Raw genomic sequence first — 21,812 nt, forward strand, 5'->3', positions numbered from 1 at the left:
CAGGGACATTTTGACCAATGCTAAAGAAATAAAGAGGACAGGAGCCCCCACCACAAGTTCAGCCAGATTCAGCCAGATGAGAATGGTAAGTGGGACTTCAGGGGAGCCAGAGCCAACAAGAGAGAAGTCCTCGGTCATGAGGGCATGAAATCAGAGGGACACCTTAGGGTGGCCTATTGGCCAGCTTTCAGTGTCCCATTGAAAAAGCATGGGTTGTTCCAAGCCACTGAGCAGCTGCCCTAGGGAGCATTCAGATACTTGCCCAATAGTCCACAGGGTGACCCACATTTTTGTTGCTGTTGTTGTTCTTTCAAGAGGATTGAGCAAGGCAGTCGACTGACAACTTGAAACCCAGCCCAGCTCACTGGCCTCATGGGGGTAGACCAGCCTGCTTTGTGTAGTACATCCAACTCTAAACTAGATTTCCTTGCTTCCTACTGGGCCAGTCCAATGTGATGCCCATGTCTTACAGTCTTCCAATAGTTTTAAAAAAAAGAAAATGGAAACAAAGGAAGGAAGGAGGGAAGGAAGGAGAGAAAGAAAGGATGGACAGACAAGCTGGATTTCTGCACCTAAGTATTCCAGTTAGGAGACAGGCCAAAGGCTGGGCTTACTTTACCCTCAAGACAATCTGTAATTGCCCAAGGGGTTCAGCTTACCCACTGCCTGGACAGAGTTAATTTCTCAAGACAGGGGGATTGCAATAGAGAAAGAGTAATCCATGTAGAGCCAGCTGTGTAGACTGGAGTTTTATTATTACCCAAATCAGTCTCCCTGAGCATTCAGGGAGCAGAGCTTTTAAGGGCAACTTGGTGGGTGGGGGGTAAGGCAGTGAGCCAGGAGTGCTGATTGGTCAGGGATGAAATCATAGAGAGCAGAAACTGGCTTCTTGGCTGGGCACGGTGACTCACGCCTATAATCCCAGCACTTTGGGAGGCTGAGACAGGTGGATCATTTGAGGTTAGGAGTTCGAGACCAGCCTGGCCAACATGGCAAAACCCCATCTCTACTAAAAATATAAAAATTAGCCAGGCATGGTGGTGCGCACCTGTAATCCCAGCTACTGGGGAGGCTGAGACAGGAGAATCACTTGAACCCAGGAGGCAGAGATTGCAGTGAGTTGAGATTGCACCACTGTACTCCAGCGTAGGTGACAGGGCGAGATTCTGTGTCAAAAAAAAAAAGAAGAAGCCAGCTTCTTGCACTGAGTCAGTTCCTGGGTGGGGGCCACAAGATCAGATGAGCCAGTTTATCAATCTGGCTGGTGACAGCTGATCCATCAAGTGCAGGGCCTACAAAATATCTCAAGCACTGATCTTAAGAGCAGTTTAGGAAGAATCAGAATATTGTATCCTCCAGCTGCATAACTCCTAAACCATAATTTCTAATCTTGTCGCTAATGTTAGTCCTGCAGAGACAACCTAGTCTCCAGGCAAGAAGGAGGTATGCTTTGGGGAAGGGCTGTTGTCATCTTTGTTTTAAACTATAAATTATAAACTAAGTTTCTCCCAAAGTTAGTTCAGCCTACGCCCAGGAATGAACAAGGACAGTTTGGAGGTTAGAAGCAAGATGGAGTCAGTTAAGTTAGATCTCTTTCACTGTCTCAGTCAAAATTTTGTAAAGGCGGTTTCAAATCCTATGAAGGAAATACTATTCCTTTTGTCTACAGATAAGAACATCAAGGCACAGAGTGCTTAAGTAATCTGCCTCAACCTGTCAATATTTTTTTAAAAGTCTATGTGGCTCTAGAATCCAGATGTTTAAACACTATCCTGTCCTCCCTCTCAATTAGATGATTAAAGTGGTTTGACAGTACCTGCTTTATAGAAAGAGTTCAATAAATATTGGCTACAATTATTATTCTCCTTTTATACATGGACCTTCATATTTTAGTTAAAATTATCAGCTAAGATTATCAGTTAATTAAAACATTTAAAATAATAATATAATAATTTGTCAAGTCATATTTCCTAGGAATTTCTACTAGGTTTAGGAAGTATCTCTGGTAGCCAGCCTCCAAGATGGCCGCCAACAATCCCTGCCTCCTGGTATTCACACCCTTGTATGGTCCTCTCCCATATGGTATCAGGGTTGATCTGTACAATCAATGGAATGCCACTTCTGAGACTAAGTTATAAGAAATTGTGACTTTTGCCTTTCTCACTTTCACAATAAGATCCCTAACTCAGGTGGGATAAGTTAGCTGCCATGTTGTGAGTAGCTCTATGGAAAGGCCCCTATAGTGAAGAACTGAGGCCACCTACCAACAGCCATGTGAACGGGCCATCTTGAAAGTGGATCCTTCCCCAGTCAAGCCTTCAGATGGGCACAACCCAGGAGAGACCCTGAGCTAGAACTACTCATGTATTAGTCCATTTTCATACTGCTATGAAGAAATACCTGAGACTGGGTAATTTATAAGGCAAAAAAAGTTTAACGAACTCACAGTTCCACATGGCTGGGAAGGCCTCACAATCATGGTGGAAGGCAAAGGAGGAGCAAAGGCACATCTTACATGGTGGCAGGCAAGAGAGCGTGTGTAGGGGAATTGCCATTTATAAAACCATCAGATCTAGTGAGACTTATTCTCTATCATAAGAACAGCATGGGAAAACCTGCCTCCATGATTTAATTACCTCCCACCAGGTCCTTCCTACAACATGTGGGGATTATGGGAGCTACAGTTCAAGATGAGATTTGGATGGGGACACAGACAAATCATATCAACCTAGCTAAGCCACCTCCAGACTTTCGAGCCCTTAAAAACAATATGAGATAACAAATGTGTATTGTTCAAATCCACTAAGTTTGGGGTCACTGTTATGCAGTGATACATAACTAATACATCATCTCTTCTAGAAGCCTTCAACTGACCCCCAGCATTCTGTGCCATATCATAGCACCTACTATATTCTGACTTACATCTTTTCCCTTCATTCTCCCATTCTAGATAATGAGATCAAGGACAGGGACTAGCTCATACTGATTTTTGAATTCCCAGGATCTAGCATAATGCTGCAATTGGTGTGGACTTCAATAAATGTATATTATTGAGCTGAACTATCTTCACTTACTGTACATCCTTTGTCCTTAAAATATAGTTTGCATTTCAGATTTCTCATGAATTCAGGTAGTTCCTGCCATCTAAACAATTAGGCCTGGTTTCACTCAACTAGTATTTGATTATTAAAGTCAATATTAAAATTGTACTATCCAAGATCTTAGACACATCTTTTTTATTTTTGCAATAGAATCATATCAACTTGTAACAGAAGAGGTTTGATAGTACGTAAGGTAGCAACATTCCTCTGTTTTCAAAGTAATTGTGCCATTAGCCCAGAATTTTTCTTTTTTCCAAATAGGATTAAATAACCTGGAGATAAAAGTAGTTCTCCAAAGGAAAAGGTAAAATAATTTCACAGAAAATATTTCCTGAGTTGGTCATATGACATCAGAGATTGGGATTAAAGATTTTATTTTTTTAACTCATTTAATTCATGGAATATAAATTTATTGTTATCAAAGATATCAGTTCAATTTTATTATTGAACCTGTAATTCATTCTATACTTTGATCCTGTGAAGACCAAATTCATCATTTTCTTCAAAAATGTCATATAAAACTTGAGTGATCAGTGACATTCTTTATTTTGTTTTTGTAAAATAAGGAAGACATTAAAGCCATATGAACTTCCTCAGTAAATGGAAAGCAGTCCACATCAATGCATTCCTCATCATGGTCATTACCAAGGGATTCACTACTTCTAGGAGGCTCTATCCTCAGCAAACAAACAATGGCCCACTTCATCATTTCCAAGTTGAAGTTCCTTGCCCCAAAATATACTACAATCCAACAAAGGAATGGACATCATTCTTGCTGATATGTCCCCAGATGACAGCATTCTTAAGAGAAGTTTCACAGCTCTGGATAATGTGAGTTTATCTGCAAGCATTGACACAATACACATTCAAGGGAAGTGGTGGTGGTCTTGGCATTGACACACAGTGGAAACTCAACAGTGACGTAGACTACAGTCAACACACATGTAACATCCTCAGGTTATATCCCACTTCAGTCTAGCCTGGCAGAAACAACTAAAATAAAATACATAAGCATGCAACATCCATATAATAAGTTCAGGAATTAAGGATGAGAATGAAAACCATCTATCCCATATACACAGCTTGGGAACTAAGGACTTGACCTGTCTCTCTAACTCTCTCCCTCTCAACACACACACACACTCACACACTCACTCACACACATACATACACTTTCTTTCCTACATTAACGTAAGTTTACTACTCCACTGTCTTCATTAGCATAACTTTACTATTCCAGGAGATTCTAGCCTAAGCAAATAATTTGATTATTCATTACAGAAACTTCCCAAAAAGATCCTTCACTCTTCAACAGGAAGTACCAGCAGACGGTTAACACCCTAAGGATCTTCAAATCCCTCAACTCAAAATCCTTTCCTTGCTGTTTCCAATTCTACACTGTTGTGTTATTATCCTTATTCAATCTTCATCAAGCTCCCTTACCGAAAGATCACCTTAAACCAAACTCCCAATAAAACATATTTTTTAATTCACCACTGATCGGAAGGCATAAAATAATTTTTTAAATAATAAAATACAACCTTGCTTTTTTCCCCTCAGAGATATTACCAAAGCTCTGCCTAGGAGGTGATCTTCCCTACCACAATAAACAATACAGATAGCTTTGACTTATCAGCAGGTTGTGTTGGTGATATTTGGAGAGCCAGCATTTGACAAGTACTTAGTATGGATCGAGCAATAAGCTAAAACATTTGGAAACTGATATATGGCTTAATCTAAGCTAAAACTAAAGCATCTGGAAACTTAATCTATTTCCCCCTAGAGGTCAGAGGCCCTCACTGTTTAAACAATTCCACATCTGGACATTTAAATTTCTGCCTGGTCCAGCATTTGCTACCGTATGTTAAGAGGAATTATTTGTCTAAATGAAAAAACGTTTCCATGGTCAAACAATTTGAAGACTGATGAGTTAAGAATAAAAAGCATCATTTCTTCACTGTGGGACTTCTCAGGGCCTTTAGGGTATACTACTGGGTATCAAAAATATCCAAGAGGGAGTTATTAATATATAGCCTACGCAAAATGTATATAGATGCTTTGTCCTACAGTAACTCCCTAGATTCTCACTGGATACAACAGGGATGATGGACAGTTTTATCTAACCTTCCATCCTGCCGTTTATTCACAGGCCATTTCCAGAGAACATGGTCAGAAAGGAAGATAAATGACCACAGCTGTCTTAGCCCTCAGCAATCAGCTCCGTGGTAATTTTAGGGCTGCCTTGATCTGTGGGCAGGGGAAAATGAAGGAAATGAATTAGCCTGAGTCCTGCCAGCCTTTAAATGAGGATGCCTGTGTGCCCTGAGCTATGCTTAGCTAATTCCAGCCCTTCTCCCCAAAGGGAATGCTGGTCTTTCAATATACTGCCAGGAGTTCCTTAAACCTTTCCCACATCTGTGAACACCAGGCAGAAGTTGTCCAAATGGTCCAAGTTGCTGATCTTTGCTCAAAGGAAGGCCCTGCTGGCATGGACCCCTCAGTTTACAAAGAGGTGGCATCTGACATACTCTGCCCCACTAACAGCTAAAATCCTCATGCTGTTATCTTTCTTGACTGTACCCTTCTGCTAAGATCTCCACTTAAAGGACATTGTTTTGGTCAGCACTCTGACTTGCTTGTTTTGGGTAAAGGAGAGGAAATTGACATTTACTAGACACTTTCTATGCGTCTGATGTCACATAAGACACTTTACATGCTTTATTCCATGTAATTCTAACAAGTGCAAAAAAATCATAATAGCAAATGTTTATCTAGTGTTTCCCATGTACCATGCACTGTTGTAAATGCTTTACATAGTCTCACTCTCTCAAGGCTCAAGGCAACTCTACGTGGTAGATGCTGCTATTACCCCCACTCTATAAATGAGCAAATAGAAGGATAAAGAGGTGAAAATAATTTGTGTAAGGTCACATAGACAGTAGCAGAGCCAGATCGGAACACAGTCACAGTCCATGCATCTAACCACACTACCATTGTCTGCCATTATCTGTCCTGTCAGATGAGAAAACCAAAGCTCAAAGAAGCAGCTCTCTCAAAGGCACACCGGAAGTGGAAGAACTGGTACCAGAACCCATGTCTGTCTACTCCCAAGTCCGTGTTTCTCCTCTAGACCACAGGCTCTCAGAGCATAGTTCCCAGACCAGCAACATCTGTAACAACTGGGAAACTTGTTAGAAATGCAAATTCTTGGCCCCACTCCAGATCTACTAAATCTGAAAGTCTGGCATGGGGCCCAGTCATCTCTATTTTAACAGGACTCCAGGTGATTCCCATGCAGACTAAAGTTTGGGAGGCACTCCTCTACACCATGCTGCCTTCTGTAGAGCACTGAATTTTGATTTTACCGGCAAGGACTAGAGATAGTGCTGTCTAGTGGTTAGAAGCTCTGGGAAGCTAAGAAACAACTTGGTCATGACCCAGCATATTTCACTGTCCTTGACAGTAGACAGGCCAGGGGTTGCTTTTTCCCCCCTTAGCAAATTCATGGAGCAGAAAAAGAACAGCTGCACTGTGGTCAAGAGGAAGACTGGATTCTGTCCTTGGCCATCCTTTACCCTGCTGATCACTTTTCAGATCCAGAGATTCTCAGTGCCTTTCTGTTCAATGTTCTGCTGCTTTTGCCTGCCAGCTTTGTCAGCTCCTACCTGTGACCCTTCTTGTCTTTCAACCCCTCCCACTTCAGGAGGAAGCACTTCTGTGGCAATATGTTCAGCTGATGAGCTGCCCTCCTGGTTCAGATATTGTGCAATGCAAAACATTTCTTAACAATTCCGGAAGCAAACTTTTTTTTTCTCCTTTATTGCTGTCAGGATCAGTTCAGTAGCTACACTAAAGCTTTCACCACTCACTGCTTCACTGAAAAGTTTAAGACCAGAGCGTTCTGCTGAATCAAGCTGTTGTTGAGAGGTTCAGTGTACGTATATAAAACAGAACAATAATTGATTTTTATAGAGGCTGAAAGAAAGTTAAGGAATCTTGGATGGCTCAGGGTGGGAGCTTGAAAGGCTTTTGACTCAGGATGAAGGATCACATGGTCCTCAATTTGTGCTTAATAGCTACAACATGGGGAAAGAGAGAGAGAGAGACACGGTATATAGGGGAAGAAGCTAAGTTAGCGCCAAGCTGAGTATTTTGCAGTCAGGGATCAAAAGGATACTACTTTTAAAAACCATATTTCTTCTTTAACAAACATTAATTCAAGCTCATTGAGTTTCTGTAGGTCATACGTTTCAATCCAGGATCAGCAACACAGAGTGTGTTATTTCACTTTCAATGCTGAGGGTGGGGACCTCCCCCTGCGAGAACATGCTGTATGTTGATTAAAGTTGCAAGGAGAGCTATGAAGGATCTGCCCAAATCTCCTTAATCTCTTTTTCTTCCTTCTTGATAGGTTTCTAGGGATCTGTTGGTTGAATTGTTCTGTGCTTGATATGGAATCTTGGTTTTTATTGGCCCACAGTAAAACTAATTACTACTGGAAAGGGCACCAAATTAAGATTAGCAAGCCTGACTTGATTTATCAAAATGGAATGTATGTATGTAATGGGTGAGTGTGTAGATGTTAGAATCAGGCAGAACACTCCTCAGTTTATGACCTCTCCAAAACCTGGTAGCGGCCGGGCGTGGTGCTCACGCCTGTAATCCCAGCACTTTGGGAGGCTAAGGTGGGCAGGTCATTTGAGGTCAGGAGTTCAAGGCCAGCCTGGCCAACATGGCGAAAACCCATCTCTACTAAAAATACAAAAATTAGCTGGGTGTGGTGGCACATGCCTGCAGTTCCATCTACTCAGGAGGCTGAGGCAGGAGAATCACTTGAACCCGGGAGGCAGAGGTTGCAGTGAGCCGAGATCGTGCCACTGCACTCCTGCCTGGGCAACAGAGCAAGACTCTGTCTCAAAAACAAAACAAACAAACGAAAAAAACCTGGTGGATTATCTTAAGGATTAAGTGGGAAAATACAGGTAATTCCCAACCTGCACAGCTGGGGCATTCAATACTGTTAACTGTTATCAGTGAATTCGCACTCATCGGAGTCTAGTTGGTGCCCGCCCCTGTGCTGGCGAGGCCCTGCAGGATCACAGAGGGACTCTCTGTTGGGGGCAGGCCTAGTTGCAGCTGCACTATTGTCAGCACACCTGCCCCCAACCTAGCCCTGTGACTTTCGAGAAGCTCTGTAAACCCCTAATCCTCCATACCTTCTCATCTGAAAAAACCCACATCCTCCTGGGGCTTACAGAGAGCAAGTGAATGAAATTGTCTGAAAATTTCAAATTGCTCTTCCAGGCTAATAAGAGAGTATCATAATTTGTTATATAAATAGAATATACACTTTTAAATTTCTCAATCTGATTTTAGTTGAACTTTTAGTGCTGTGGCATAATAGAAAGAATTCCTTAAATTGGGATTAGAAAACCTGAATGTAGGTCCTGGTTCTGAGATACTGCCATTTATTAGCTGTGCAACTCTGGGCTAGTCACCTAACCACCCCGGACCTCAGTTTTCTTATCTAAAAACCTGGCTAAGATTATCTACCCCTTAGGCGGATTTTTTTTCTTTTCTCTCCACACTCTGCCTACCCCACAGGTTTTTGTTTGTTTGTTTGTTTTTTGAGACAGAGTCTTACTCTGTCACTCATGCTGGAGTCCAATTGCGCAGTTTCAGTTCACTGCAACTTCTGCCTTCCAGATTCAAGCGATTCTCATGCCTCAGCCTCCTGAGTAACTGGGATTATAGGCACGCACCACCATGCCCAGCTAATTTTTGTATTTTTAGTAGAGATGAGGTTTCACCATGTTGGCCAGGCTGGTCTCGAACTCCTGGCCTCAAGTGATCCACCCACCTCGGCCTTCCAAAGTGCTGGGATTACAGGCATGGGCCTCCGTGCCCAGCCCCCTATAGGTTTTTATATCAAAAACATCACTCCAGCCTGGTCGAGAGAGTGAGATCCTGTAAAAAATAAACAAACAAACAAACAACAACAACAACAAAAAACACCTCACAACTCTACAGGCAGGAATTACTCTTCCTGGCTTGCAAATGGGCTCAGGGACTTAATTATCCAGAAGTCACACAGTGAATAACCTGAGATTTCAAACCAATACCTGAGCCCACACATGTAATCACTATTATTATCACTGTTCTTTTATTGTGCGTGCCATTTTTGGAAGAACAATGAAGTCTATTTGGGTTGACGATCCCAAATCCTCCATCTTAAATCTTCTTATTAAACTGTGTGAAAAAGTTACCATGTAATCTAAATTATGATCTGTTTTCCTACCTTCACTCCTCCAAAATAATTGCAATTATAAAACACTTGATGTAAATTAATCTCTGTTCCTCAAACTTGAGAGTTACATTAAAAAGTCTCAATTATAAATGACAGATAGATGCTGTTCCTAGAGCGAAATCTATCTTGGTTTGTTCTAGGATTTTAAAAAATATTTGATGTAGGCCAGGCACGGTGGCTCACACCTGTAATCCCAACACTTTGGGATGCCAAGGTGGGTGGATCACCTGAGGTCAGGAGTTCAAGACCAGCCTGACCAACATGAGAAACCCTGTCTCTACTAAAAATACAAAAATTAGCCGGGCATGGTGGTGCATGCCTGTAATCCCAGCAACTCGGGAGGCTGAGGCAGGAGAATCACTTGGACCCGGGAGGCAGAGGTTGCGGTGAGCCAACATCGCGCCATTGCACTCCAGCCTGGTCAACAAGAGCGAAACTACGTCTCAAAAAAAAAAAAAGAAAGAAAAAGATGTAAAATATGCCACAGAGAGAGAGAGAGAGACAGAGAGAGAGAGTCTTTAAAGCTTCCCTCACCCCATTCCTGACAAAAGCAACAGAAAAAAATTTTCCCAGGACCCAAGCTCGAGATATTCCTGATACCAGCCACCTCCACAAGCAAGGCTGCTGTCAGTGGAACTGAGAAGCTGCCAAGAAGCTAGGCCATTTCTACTCCACATTTGGTCTGAGGCCAGAGTGTTGTCTTTCAGTTTTTAGACAAATCTCCCAGGGTGATGTAGACCCAGCAATAACCATATGTGACCATCACAGCCTGCAGGAAAGAGAAGAAAGGTAAAGACGGCTTTCATAAATGGCCCTGATCTTATCTGCAAAAGCTGGACAGCTCTTTTTCCAATACAGAAGCAGAAACAGTCGAGATTAAGCTTTGCTTAGGGAGGTAGGGAGTTCTAGTTCAATGGTCCAAATCATGCTAATCAACTTCTGCAAAGGACAGTGTCCTGGAGCTGTGGGCCTTGAACAGCAAGCTCGGGTCCACAGGTTTGGCCACAGTATGACTATGCCTGTGTTATTTAAAGTTTGTCCCAAGGAGTGTTATGATGTGCTTGGTATGGGCTTCACCCCCAGCAGGCACAAGCATGTGCATGCCTCATTGGCACTGTGTCCGTATGGAGCATTGTGAAGGGACTATGTGGAAGGAACAGGAAAAAAGAGACTACTTAACATCCTTTGCTTTGCTCTGCCACGTTTTATATTTACAAGCTTCTGTGTAGAAGGATACTGATGTATGTTCTTGGCTTCCATAAGACAGTGGGGGTGACAGGAGTAAAAAGGAAGACGCCTAAAGACACTGAAGTTTCCTGGTCTATTTGGTCAACAACTATTTAATAGGGGCCCACCATGAATCAGATAAGGTACACATGCTGCAGATACAAATGACCAAGAGCAAGCCTGACTGCTGCCCTTATGGAACTTGGTATCTAGTAGGGGAGTCAGCCAACAATCGAATAGTCACATAAATGTATGGAAAATGGAAGCTGTGGCAAGTGCTAAGAAGACATGGTCATGGTGCCGTGAGCACCATTAATGGAATCTGACCCAGTCCAAGAGGTCAGCAAGGGCTTCCCTGAGAAAGTGATGCTTCAACTGAGACCTTCAAGATGAGTAGGTGCTAAGTAGTGAAAGGAATGAGGATGGGAGGCAAAATCCTGGCCAAGTGAATAGCACATGCAAAGGCCCTGTTTTGGGAGAGAAACAGCTTGGTGGAAGGTAGGAGATCTGACCTAAGTGTTACCAGGAAGGCCCCCCAACCCCTAAACACCTCTGCCTCCTAAAATTCCACCATTATTAAGGAATGCTTTGGGTTAAGATTGTTTTTCTCTTGAAATATTCCCTTTTTTTTTTTTTTTTTTTTGGGCAGGAGACCAGAGCTTATTATTACTCAAATCAGTCTTGCTGAACATTTGTGGATCAGAGTTTTTAAGGATAATTTGGTGGGTGGGGGAAGGCCAGTGAGTTGAGAGTGCTGATTGGTTGGGTCAGACATGAAATCGTAGGGAATTGAAGCTGTCTTCTTGGGCTGAGTCAGTCCCTGGGTGGGGGGCCACAAGATCAGGGGGCCACAAGATCAGATGAGCCAGTTTATTGATCTGGGTGGTGCCAGCTGATCCATCAGGTTCCGGGTCTGCAAAATATCTCAAGCACTGATCTTAGGAACAGTTTAGGGAGGGTCAGAATCTTGTAGCCTCCAACTGCATAACTCCTAAACCATAATGTCTAATCTTGTGGCTAATTTGTTAGTCCTACAAAGGCAGTCTAGTCCCCAGGCAATAAGGTTTGTTTTGGGAAAGGATTGTTACTGTCTTTGTTTTAAACCATAAACTATAAAATAATTTCCTCCCAAAGTCAATTCAGCCTACACCCAGGAATGAACAAGAACAGCCTGAAGGTTAGAAGCGAGATGTAGTCAGTTAGGTCAGATCTCTTCCACTGTCTCAGTTACAATTTTGCAATGGCAGTTTCAATCCCTCCCTTTGGGTTTTATAACACCTTAACCTCAAGATGTTGGCAATTGAAGATGGAAAAAGAGCAAAGACTGCTCTAACTTCTTCCTGCTGATCAAGGGCATAGTGAGGGTAGGTGTCGACCCCAAGGTAAGGGGAGTAGAACTGCTTTGCAACTGTCTGAAAGTACTCATGCAGGCCTGGCTGGGGTCCCAAGGCTTGCATGGCAAAGGCGTTAGTATTATTATTTGCAGTTTTAGTACCACGTTTGAGGGAATAGTATGCTATAACGTAAATAATGAGTACTAGTGTAAGGAATGCAATTCCCAGTTTTAAAAGCAAAAATTTTAAAGCATTACTTTGGGAACTTGTAGCCCACAAAGAATTTAGGATTTAGCCAAACTGAAGAAAAAACTCAAGAACAGCTAATAGCAGATGTACTATAGACTTTTGTTTTGTTTTGGTTTTGGTTTTGGTTTTGGTTTTTTTTGAGACAGAGTTTCACTCTTGTTGCCCAGGCTACAGTGCAACGACATGATCTCAGCTCACCACAACCTCTGCCTCCTGGGTTCAAGTGATTCTCCTGCCTCAGCCTCCCGAGTAGCTGGGATTGCAGGCATGAGCCACCATGCCCGGCTAATTTTTTCTATTTTTAGTAGAGATGGGGTTTCTCCATGTTGGTCAGGCTGATCTCGAACTCCTGACCTCAGGTGATCTGCCCATCTTGGCCTCCCGAAGTGCTGGGATTATAGCATGAGCCACCGTGCCCGGCCCAGATGTACTATAGTTTTTTGAAGCATAATTTTTTTCTTTCTAGTTTCCATTTTTATTAAAAACAAATTATGATAGAACTGATTTGTTTGCAAAAGTAAATTTTAGTCTTATTAGATTTGGTCTGATTATTTGCATAAAGTGTAGCAAGAATGATTATTTCCCACAGAGGCTTTTTAAATTGGCTTTGATGGAACTCTATTCCATAAGGAATCTTAGATAAGACTTTTTAAAGCTGAGCCCAGCCATGGGTTTGTAAGCTTAAATACCTATAAGTTGGGTAAATTTCTCTTGACATCCCAAGATAACTTGGGGCTCCTGAGCCTGTTAGAAAGTGACATTTTTTTACTTACTACAGGTCGGGAACCCTGTACAGGGATTGTGTAGACAAGGTATGAGGTCAGTTTTCCCAAGGGGCTTTTATTGGCTTTGTAAGTCAACTTTGATTTTTTTTTGTTTGCTTTTTTTTTGTTTTGCTGAGACAGAGTCTTGTTCTGTTGTCCAGGCTGGAGTGCAGTGGCACCATCTCGCTCACTGCAACCTCTGCCTCCTAGGTTCAAGCAATTCTCCTGCCTCAGCCTCCCAAGTAGCTGGGATTACAGGTGTGCGCCACCACATCTGGCTAATTTTTTGTATTTTTAGTAGAGAGAGCGTTTCCCTATGTTGGCCAGCTGGTCTCAAACTTCTGACCTCAGGTGATCCACCCGCCTCAGCCTCCCAAAGTGCTGGGATGACAGGCATGAGCCACTGTGCCCAGCCACATTAGTGCATCTCTAATGCTAAAGGTAGTTTTCAAATACAATTTTATAAATCTATTCAGTTTTAATTAATTTGACCAGAAGGTAAGATTTCCATAAACTTTTTAGAACCCTTTACAATTTTCCATTAAACAGCAGATTAATTTTTTAAGAAAACCGTATTATTTGGACACATGGGCCCATAAAATCAGTATGATTTTAATGTTTTAACCTATAGAAACAAGCTAAATAATCTCCTTTAAATTTTAGCCAACTTGCTTATACCCACAGAATGTTTTACAAGGTTAACCCTTTACAAACCCTTTTTTAATTTGCTTAAACCTTCGATTTTGTCCCATTACTCTTCTAGGTTAAGACAATCTTTTAAAACCCTCTGAACTAGACAAAATTACATTCTCTTTAACAAAAAGCATATTCCCATATCTTCTTATAATCTCCCACCAAGATTATATTCTGCTTTTCTTCTATACCTGACAACTTATATGTAAAACTGTTTCTCCAGTAGTCTCAATTGTATGTTACAATGTTAACTCTTAGCAACTTTTATTTTTGGTGAAAAACCTAATAAGTAGGCGATTTATTTAGGTACGAGGTGTGGAGCCTAGGACATCAGGAGTACTGACCCTTTTCAGCATAGCTAGGGGACATGGCTTTCCATATGTCCCCAGGCCTTATCTATAATATCATACTCCAAAGTAGGTAAATTGAACAATTTTCAAAAGTCAAAGAAGCAGTTTATGACTTAAAGCATTTAGCAAATCTAATATCTGACCTTAATTGAGACCAAATGTCTAAATTTTGAAGACATTTTTATTTTACTAATAATCTTTAAAACTGAAGGGTTACTTCTTGTTGTTACTTCTTGTTGTGAACAAGAAGGCATTAAAGTTTCTATTTTTCTGATAAAATATGATTTAAGTGCTTTTTTTCTAAGCCAATTAATCAGCTCTTTTATATATAAACATCACACACACACATATAAATACACAGACAGACAGAAGATCCAGTAGTTGTAAGACTTTTCATTTGCCAGTTTTTTAATTGGATTACTGGCTTCAGGGTGGATCCCTTGGATGAGCAGGGCCAGGAAAGCATGCAGTTTTTAGGACCTAATAAGTAGGCACAGCTGGAAGGCAAAGACAAATCCTCAAAATTAAAGGTGCCATTTTATACTGGATCCTGGATCCCCAAAAAGGAGGGAAATACTACAAGAGAAGATAGTGCAGTGCTTCTACCATGCATTTCATTGCAAGGCAATTCAAAGCCAATCAGCCCATTTTTTAATTAGCCCATCCCCAACGGGAGTCTCATCTTTCAGTGGGGGTTGGGGATGTTTCCATATCCCACTTCCAAGTGGCCAAGAGCATGCTTCTTTGACCCAAGCAAGTAAAGAGATAAGTATCTCTTCATAACTGACATTAGCCATTTCTTAAAGTATATATATATTTTTTACCTAGTTATTACACACCAAGGCTAAAAGCTTTCCCATAAAATAATTTGATTATTATTTCCCATAAAGTAATTTGATACCCTCAAAAGTCAAAACCATTAGCTAAAGCAAGGCAAAACAAAACAGAGCCTTAGATTTTGAGAGGGATTTATTGTTTTCAATTCCTGGGGTTCCATGAGGAAAAGAAGTTTTTCCCAGAATGGGGTCTGTGGTGCCATCTCTGTTTTTCCCCAGGAGTCCCAGGTTGTTAGTAATTATCTTGAGTTTTTTCCTGTGGACATTAACAGTGGCAAGAAGACAAAATGGAGAAAAACAATTCAGTCTACTGAGAAGAAAAAAACTTTTTCAGAAAAACACAACTCAAGAAGAGGAAAAAAGATAAAGGCCTTTTAAGTATGTATACCTTGGGTATCCATTTTTAATTAAGTTGAATTTAACCATAAAGTTCTTTTCTCAAAAAAAAATTGCTTATTACCCAGGACAGCCAATATTTTTGGCTTTTGAATTGTACCACAGGTAACCTTCCATGAGAAATTAGTAAGTTTTAACTAAGGTTATGACTTAACCATGGATGCACAAGGTGTTTCAAAGACATGATAAGCAGTTTTTTTCCTTATTTATTTCTTTTCTTCTTTTTTTTTTAACAAGATTTAGAATCTCCACAAGGGTCGTTCAGAGAAAGGAAAATCCAATCAGGAAATCAGAAGCTATCCATGGGGCAGGGGGAAAAATACACCTCAATATTAGTGGCAAAGTTACACAAATGACAAACCAGAAAGGAATCATTCTGGAAGCCAAGAATTGAACCCGAGCCACCATTGTCAAAAGGCAAAGCCTTACCTACTGAGCTACACGCCATTGAGCAGTTTCTATTGCTGTGCCCTGAAGAAGTCTAAAGCAGCCAATTCCAAGCTTGCAAAGCCTCTTAACTGTTCAAAATAATTTTTAGGGCTAACTATGACATGAACCCCCAAATTCCTGTCCTCTGGTTGGAGGAAACCAAAAGAAAGTATCTCCACATGGTCACAAAGTTAAGCTCTTGAGGACACAAAACAAGACAGAGAAATTTCATCTGGTATTCGTTTCAGGGACCCTCAGCAAAGTTTGTAACAGACCAGCCTGCCAGGCTGGCTTGAAAAGCGGGAATATAGGAGTTCTAAACCTACGTTTTATCTTGTGATGCCCATCTCTCCATTATAGAACAACATAGAAAGACAAATTCTTAGCACAAAGTACACCAGATTTGCTACAACCTAAGACTAGTCTCACAAATCCTTTCTTCTATTAATCAAACCCTTGTAGAGGAGACAAATAGTGGTGTTTACCATTTACACACATACACACACACACACACAGAGAGAGAGAGAGAGAGAGAGAGAGAGAAAGCCGAAACTTGGCTGGTAAGATTTTCTTATCCTTTTTGCTGGCATACTAGGTTTCCAGGTTCTCTTTCTTCGCAGCTTCCACAGAAACAGAGTGGCTTTTGATGATCCTGACCACTGTGCCATAACTGTGAGGGTCAAGCCACCCAACAAAAGAAAATCACCCCTTTCTGTTTTATGGAACCATAGGCAAAAGATTCTCAATTTTGCAAGATGTTGCCCAACAGGCTGCTTGGGGAACCAAATTAACATTCTCCATCCCAACAAAATACACACAACAAAACAGACACTAGTCACCTCGTTCAGTACCCAATATTGATATGGCAAGGCTCAAACTTTCTCCTCTTGGTTTCTGTTGCCTTTGGTCTACTCCAGGTGGTTGAGGGATGACTTCAGAACAGTAATTCAATGGGTGGTCTCTGGGAAAGACAAAGAGCAGACAGTCACCCCAAGTCAGTCCTGTTGAGCTTACTTCAGGGTTCACTGAATGTAACCACACAAATAAGGAGGGTTCTCCGAGTTAGGCCTGTTGGACTTCTGTCAGCAATTCCTTCGGAGATCCCCTCCACATATACAAACACACATAAACACAAGACAGACAGAAGGCCTTCCAAATCAAGATCCCTAACCAAGAATTCCAGGAGTACTTCTTCTAAACTATCTTACTATTCTCCATTTGAGAAATCTCCCCAACATCTTCTGATGGAGGAGAAGTCTCCCAAACCAAGACTCTTCCTACTAGTTAGGGAGAGCCAACTGAGAACCCCCAGGAGCTGAACTGAGACAGACACCCCATGGTGGAGCTCCAGGCAGACACCCCACAATGCGGCTACAGCTAGACACCCCACCATGGGGTTACAGAACCAGTCAGGAGAAGGAAGGAGACATTGGCAGTGCCTAGGATACTCACCAACCCAGATACTCCATAATGGGGCTATAGCTACAGACACTCCATGACCTGGCTACAGCACCCCGCCATGGAGCTATGGACAGACACCCTGTGACAGGGCTTCAGTTATGAGATGTCTCCTGAGGACTATTTCTCCATTGCAATTAAATCCATGCACATTGGGTTGGCAGTGCCCAACTGGAAGAGACGGTGCCAGAGTCACCCACTGTCCAAGAAAATTAGGTGGCCACTTGAGCTGACCTCCAGATCCATTGCCAGAGGCAGGCTACCAAACCATGGGCAGCTAGCCACAAGGGCTATCCTGGACAAGCCCCCAAATTTGTAACTGCCCAATGGGTTCACCTTGCCCACTGCCTAGACAGAGCCAATTTATTAACACAGGGGAATTGCAATAGAGAAAAAGTAGTTTACACAGAGCCAGCTGTGCAGGAGACTGGAGTTTTATTATTACTCAAATCAGTCTCTTGAAGTGTTCCTTTATGCTCAGAAGAATGACTCATTAAGTCAAGTGAATGGTTTTATCTGATAAATTCTCTCCCTAATAGCAGAAGTCATGGCCACAAGTCCCTGAGATTAGTATGGGAATTTGGGTAGGTGGGTTTATTTTAAAGAGAAAAAGAGTTACAAAAATGAGAGATGTGTGCCTCAAAGATCAAACCTCATATTTTTCTAAATTTATCCCAAGACCAGCCCTACCAGAATTTATTAAAAGTCTGATCTCCAGGAAATCACGTAAGCTTTTGCATTCAGCAAGACTAATCAAGATGGTCTCAGCCTTTGAGAGAAATCTATGAAAAGGAGCAATTCAAAGAAAAGAGGTAAACATCATATTATGAGAATGCCGGCATTTTTTTCCATAAGCTGAGTCCTCCATCCTAAACCAGCTTCATCAGCTTGAGCATCCTTAAAAGTTTCACAGCTGACAAAATATAGTCATGCACTACATAACAACCTTTCAGTCAATGACAGACTGCACACACCACAGAGGTACCATAAGATTATAATACTGTATTTTTATTGTACTTTTTCTATGTTTAAATATGTTTGACTACACAAACACTTTCCACTATGTTACAGTTGCCTACAGTATTCAGTACAGCAACATGCTGTACAGGTTTATAGTCTGAGAACAATAGGCTATACCATGTGGTCTGGGTGTGTAGTGGGCTGCAGCATCTAGGTTTATGTAAGTATATTCTATGATGTTCACACAATTATGCACTTCTCAGAACATATCCCCATTGTTAAGCAACACATGACTGTATATTAATTCAGTATTTTGTTCCTAGAGTCTCATAACAGATGTTTCTCCCCCATGGCACATAAACAAGCAGTAAACCATACCAGCTTTTCAGTCACTTAGGCCTGGATTCAAATCCTGACTCTTCAGCTTAGCCATGTGACCATGGGGAGGTCATTTAACTGCCCTAAACCTTGTTTTCTCAACTGCGAACTGGGAATCATTGTCCCTATCCCATAGAATTGCTTGGAAGATGACATAAAAATAATGCATTAAAGAGCTTACCGAAGTGCAGGTCATACAATCAGCACTTAATGGGAGAAAGTTAAAAAGAAGGGCCAGGTGAGGGGAACTGGCAAAGACAGAGAAAGAGTGTGGAGCTCCTGAGAGACACAAGTGCATGGGTTCCAGGTGATGCATTGCTTGGGCAAAACCACACACACCAAGTCTCAAAAGAAGTTGAAAAGCCTGAGAGAAAGCAGGCCTGGAATTTACAAATGGAAAGAGTCCTATCTCTCTTGTATTTTCTCTTGGAACATGTGAGATGAGTTCACCCAGAGACAGGAAAGAAAACAGCAAGGACCGCCCAGGCATTACAGCATGGGTTCTGCCTGAAGAGGCCCATGACAAAAGAGAATTTAGGGTAGGACATCCACCTGGAAAACTTCCAGGCAGAGTGGTGCCTGGGAAGCTGCTAAAAGCTTAAATAAGGGGGAGTAAACCAGAGAGCTGGACGAAAAAATAAAAAGCCAAAAGGACCCTCCTGGTCTCCCTGCAGATTGCCAGCCTCATCCCATGAAACTGGCCTCAGTTATTACAGACAGAAGAATTTCCTGCTGGAAAGCTCTTTGACCTTACTGAGCTTGGCCTAGGATATTCAACATTCTCAGGCTTGGCATGGCATTCCCCAGTAAGATTTTCTCTTTCTGGAAAAAAGTAATACAGAAAAAGAAAAGGCAACTATATAGTGAAAATACCAAAGAATGTCAGGAATCTGAATCATGGGGAAGAGAATTCCTAAATTTATCTTTCCCAAAGTTATTTTTATCAAGGAGAAAGACATTTCCTTACTGAGGCTCTGAATCTATAAGTCCCTAAAACTCTTTCTTATGAAATTCATGCTTGTGCTTTATTTTTTATTTTATTTTATTTTATTTTATTTTTGAGACAGAGTCTCACTCTATCACCCAGGCTAGAGTGCAGTGGCGTGATCTTGGCTGACTGCAACCTCCACCTCCCGGGTTCAAGCAATTCTCCTGCCTCAGCCTCCCAAGTAACTGGGATTATAGGTGCCCACCACCACACCCAGCTATTTTTGTATTTTTAGTAGAGACAGGCTTTCACCATGTTGGTCAGGCTGATCTCCAACTCCTGACCTCAAGTGATCCACCCGCCTCGGCCTCCCAAAGTGTGTTTTATTTTTTAAAGATATAGGCACTTTGCATACCTCTTTCTGTATCAACCCTTTTCCCTCCTGCCCACATAGCTGTGAGAAGAATTTCAACAGGCCCAGCAAATGACATAAAATGATATACCATGTGCATTTTGGAGGCTGAGGTATGAGGACTGAGAGTTGTAAATAAAGTGCTGACCCAAGTGAGATCCAAAGAGCACCTGGGAAGCTCTGGGTGCAGGGTAGCAGCCCAGAGCCGCTGGCCCCTTCCTGGCCATCTGGGTGCTGGGCATAGATTTCTCAACAAGAAGACTCTGCTACCTCCCCTCACCAGGCCTCTATTCTTCTGAGAAACACAAAGCAATAATAAAAGAAAGTGTTAACCAAATAAATAAATAAATAGTGCTGAAAAGGGCTCACTGCATCCTGGAGTTGCAGCTCCTGTAGCTGTAATAATGAATCTGGTAGCCCTTAGTGATTCTCCTTTATTTGTTTTGAGTTGGGGTCTCACTCTGTCACCCAGGCTGGAGTGCAATGGTACCATCTTGGTTCACTGCAGCCTCTACCTCCCAGGTTCAAGTGATTCTCCCACCTCAGCCTCTTGAGTAGCTGGGATTACAGGCACCTGCCATCAGGCCCAGCTAATTTTTGTATTTTTAGTAGAGACAGTGTTTCACCATTTTGGCCTGTCTGGTCTTGAACTCCTAACCTCAGGAGATCCACCTGCCTCAGCCTCCCAAAGTGTTGGGATTACAGGCCTGAGTCACCACACCTGGCCTTCTCCTTTATTTCTCTAAGCCTAGTTTCCTACCTGTCTGAGGAGACCAAGCAGGGAATAAACAGAGAGCATCTGCAACGCCTTGTTAGAGGGAACTGCTGTCCTCAAGCATCCAACAACCCCAGTGAGGAAAATACGGCCAAACCTCCCTCCCAGTGTTACAGGAAGCAAGGCTAGAAATTGGACCAGCGATAAGTTTTCCAAGAAAGTGAATCACACACGTGAGACTTCAGGACCACTTAATGCAGAGCAGATTTTCGGACCACTTAATCCATGGAAAAAAAATAAACGGATTAATAGTTGCATAGAAAAAAATATGCTTTAATAAAAAACAATGCATCACTTATGCATACCCTTCTGGGTTATGAGATTGTAGCCATGTTTATTGTCTTTGAGCTACTTTGTAAATCTTCGTAAGTTGTAGGTAACTGATAGATATATAACTTCTGTCCTATCTGGTAGTGATTTAATTGACTCCCCCTGGCCCTATCCTTCACTCATGGATAAAACAGTTTTGCCTCCATTTGCAATTCATCTCAGCATTCCTTTACTTGTAAAAAAAAAAAAAAAACCTGTGCTGTTTTGACTTTTCCTTTGAGCCAGTTGCTATGGGTTGAATTGTGTCCCCTTCCCCCAAAAATATTGAAGATATGTCCCAACCCCCAGTACCTGGGAATGTGAGCTTATTTGGAAATAGGGTCTTTGCAGACGATCAAGATGAGGCCATGAGAGTGGGCCCTGATATAATATGACTGTGTCCTTAAGAAAAATAAAAGGTGATTTAGACACAGAGACAAATTACCTTCCTCTTCATGCATACACAAAAGAATGCCAAGTGAAGAGGAAGTGAGAGATAGGATGATATGTCTCCCAGCTAAGGAACACAGAGGATTGCCACCAAAACCACCAGAAACTGGGAGAGATACACAGAATAGATTCCCCTCAAAGCCCCCAGAAGGAACCAACCCTACCAACACCTTGATTTGGAACTTCCAGCCTCGACAACTGTGAGAGAACAAATTTCCGTTGTTTAAGCCACCCAGTTTGTCATACCTTGCTGTGGCATCCCAAGCAGACAAATAAACCAGTTATAACATGTTTCTTATTCCCTAGTATCATATAAGCAAAATAAATTTTTTAGCACATGTTCATTTTTGTATCTATAGAAGAGTCATGATTTCATTAGGTTGGGGAAAAAGCTATTGTGATTTTTGCCATTAAAAGTAGTGATCCAAACCGCAATTACTTTGCACCAACCTAATA

At 41.8% G+C, this 21,812-nt stretch overlaps 1 long non-coding RNA gene across 1 annotated transcript in view, besides 1 other annotated feature; it reads right to left on the reverse strand.

Annotated features, from left to right (window-relative positions):
* Positions 1–21,812, reverse strand: part of LOC643339 (uncharacterized) — a 373,979-nt gene that overhangs the window by 233,717 nt on the left and 118,450 nt on the right. The window lies entirely within an intron of this gene.
* Positions 6,228–6,487: an enhancer, noted in NCBI's record as "active region_6765". NCBI's record gives its function as "activates an Ori minimal core promoter by ATAC-STARR-seq in GM12878 lymphoblastoid cells {active_cell/tissue: GM12878}" and the evidence as "EXISTENCE:reporter gene assay evidence [ECO:0000049][PMID:35858748]".

The sequence above is a fragment of the Homo sapiens genome, chromosome 12 (genome assembly GCF_000001405.40).
Source record: "Homo sapiens chromosome 12, GRCh38.p14 Primary Assembly".
In the NCBI taxonomy this organism is placed as follows: Eukaryota; Metazoa; Chordata; class Mammalia; order Primates; family Hominidae; genus Homo; species Homo sapiens.